The following is a 1,890-nucleotide window of genomic DNA, read 5'->3' on the forward strand; positions in this document are numbered from 1 at the left end:
ATTGAACCTAGTATATTTCTTCAGAGCAACAGTACAATGGGATGGTTACAACACAGATTTGGAAGTTTTGCTGGCTGGATTTGACCATCAACTAGCTGAGTGATTTTGTATAAATGACTTATCCTCTTTGTGTTCCAGCTTCCTCATCCATGAAACAGAATAATTATAGCTCAAGCAGTAGTTGTGAAGATTTAATGATGTAATCTGTGTAAATTGCTTAAGCTGAGAAGATAAATCAGCAGCCAAATATGTTCAACCTGACTGTAACAAGAGAAAGCAAACGAAGGCCTCTGCTGTTCAGCATTGGTTTGTGATCCTGAAAGGGGTGGCTCATTTGGTTATAGTTCACTAGAGAGTTCCGCCCACCTTAGGAATTTGCCATTGTTCCAATTTTCCATGATTTGAAATTGCAGTATGAATCTTCCCACATGAACCTTTTAAATTCCCAGCAAACACAATCAATAGAAGAAATCTTGCATTTTGCTTTTCTTAAAAAACATTATTTTTAAAGATTGTGCATAGTAGCTACTTCAGCACCATCATTCTGTAGTTATTAAGTAAATGCAAATTTTTAATATTTGTGTATTGATCTGAGGAGTTTTAGTGCTGGTAGCCTGTTGTGGTTGATTTGAAAATTTGACAAAAAACAGGTGTCTGGTGAATTGTGACTTGCCCTCTGTGGCCTGCACAGGACTCAGTTGCAGCTTTTTACTGTATTAAGCTCATATGTCACCAATAAAAAGTGATACAAGTGTAAACAGCAGATTGTAGACATGGCCTTATCCAATATTGTAAGGCACTTTCTGTGTACATTATTTATTGTTTACACCTGGGAACACAAATTTATTCTGTCTTGAGAATAGTTCAGAGATTTCATTCATTAAGGAGGATGCTGTGAAAGTATCATCAAAATCCAATATCTTTGGGCCTGAAGTTCAAACATGCCTTACAATATTAAACATGCCTTAAATATTAAACACCCTAATTGGTGGTGGCCATCACAGAAACCCACACATGCATTTTTGCAGAATTTAGCGCAGATGGTTATCTCTTCTGGCTGAATCACTCAGTGTCACCAGGGCTTTCAGGTGCTTCCCCTTACCATTTGACCTGAGCCCGTCATCTGCATGCCTGTCTGCTTCCCAGCCATGGGCTGAAGGGGCCTGAGCACATACACATCTATGAGGGATATCTTGATATATTTTTTTCAGGAAAAAAAGTACGCATAATTCGTAAGGCTGAGTTCTGCTTCCTTGTTCAATGATTTCCTAGGGATCTATCTTCTGTATCTGCACTTGGGTATCTCTCATCAATTTGCTTAAGACTGCAGGTTACAAGAAGAGATTGCAGCTCCACTTATTCCAACACTCCCCTGCCCTCCTCTTTGAGAACTTAACATTTAAAAATCGGTTTTGTTTTGTTAATAGCTATAATATTCACACGGTTTAAAATTCAAAAGGTACAAAAGAATATACAGTGAAAATTTTCCCTTCTTCCCCCGACTCCCAACTATCCAATTCCCTTTCAGAAGCAACCAATGTTATCATTTTCTTGGGTGTTTTTCAGAGGTACCACGTAGATATATGTAGTCTCTCCCTTGATTTTTAGCAACTGACTTAAGTACACTATATGTAAAGTTCTATTTCATGTTTTTGTATTTGACGTTGTGTATACACTTTATGCAGGAACCGTCTATCTGGGAAGGTTGGCTCTTTTTTGACAGCTTCAGGAGATGCCCACAGGGACTAGGGATGGAAAATAGACTGTCTGCCAACCGTAAAGAAAAGTGCAGTCAACTCTTCCATATGTGGGGAGACGGATCTCACAGCCAGGGGATCACCCTTACATCCTCCTCAGGGTTTAAGATCACACGGTAACTTCCCAATGCCA

Source organism: Homo sapiens, chromosome 5, assembly GCF_000001405.40.
Source record: "Homo sapiens chromosome 5, GRCh38.p14 Primary Assembly".
Classification (NCBI taxonomy): Eukaryota; Metazoa; Chordata; class Mammalia; order Primates; family Hominidae; genus Homo; species Homo sapiens.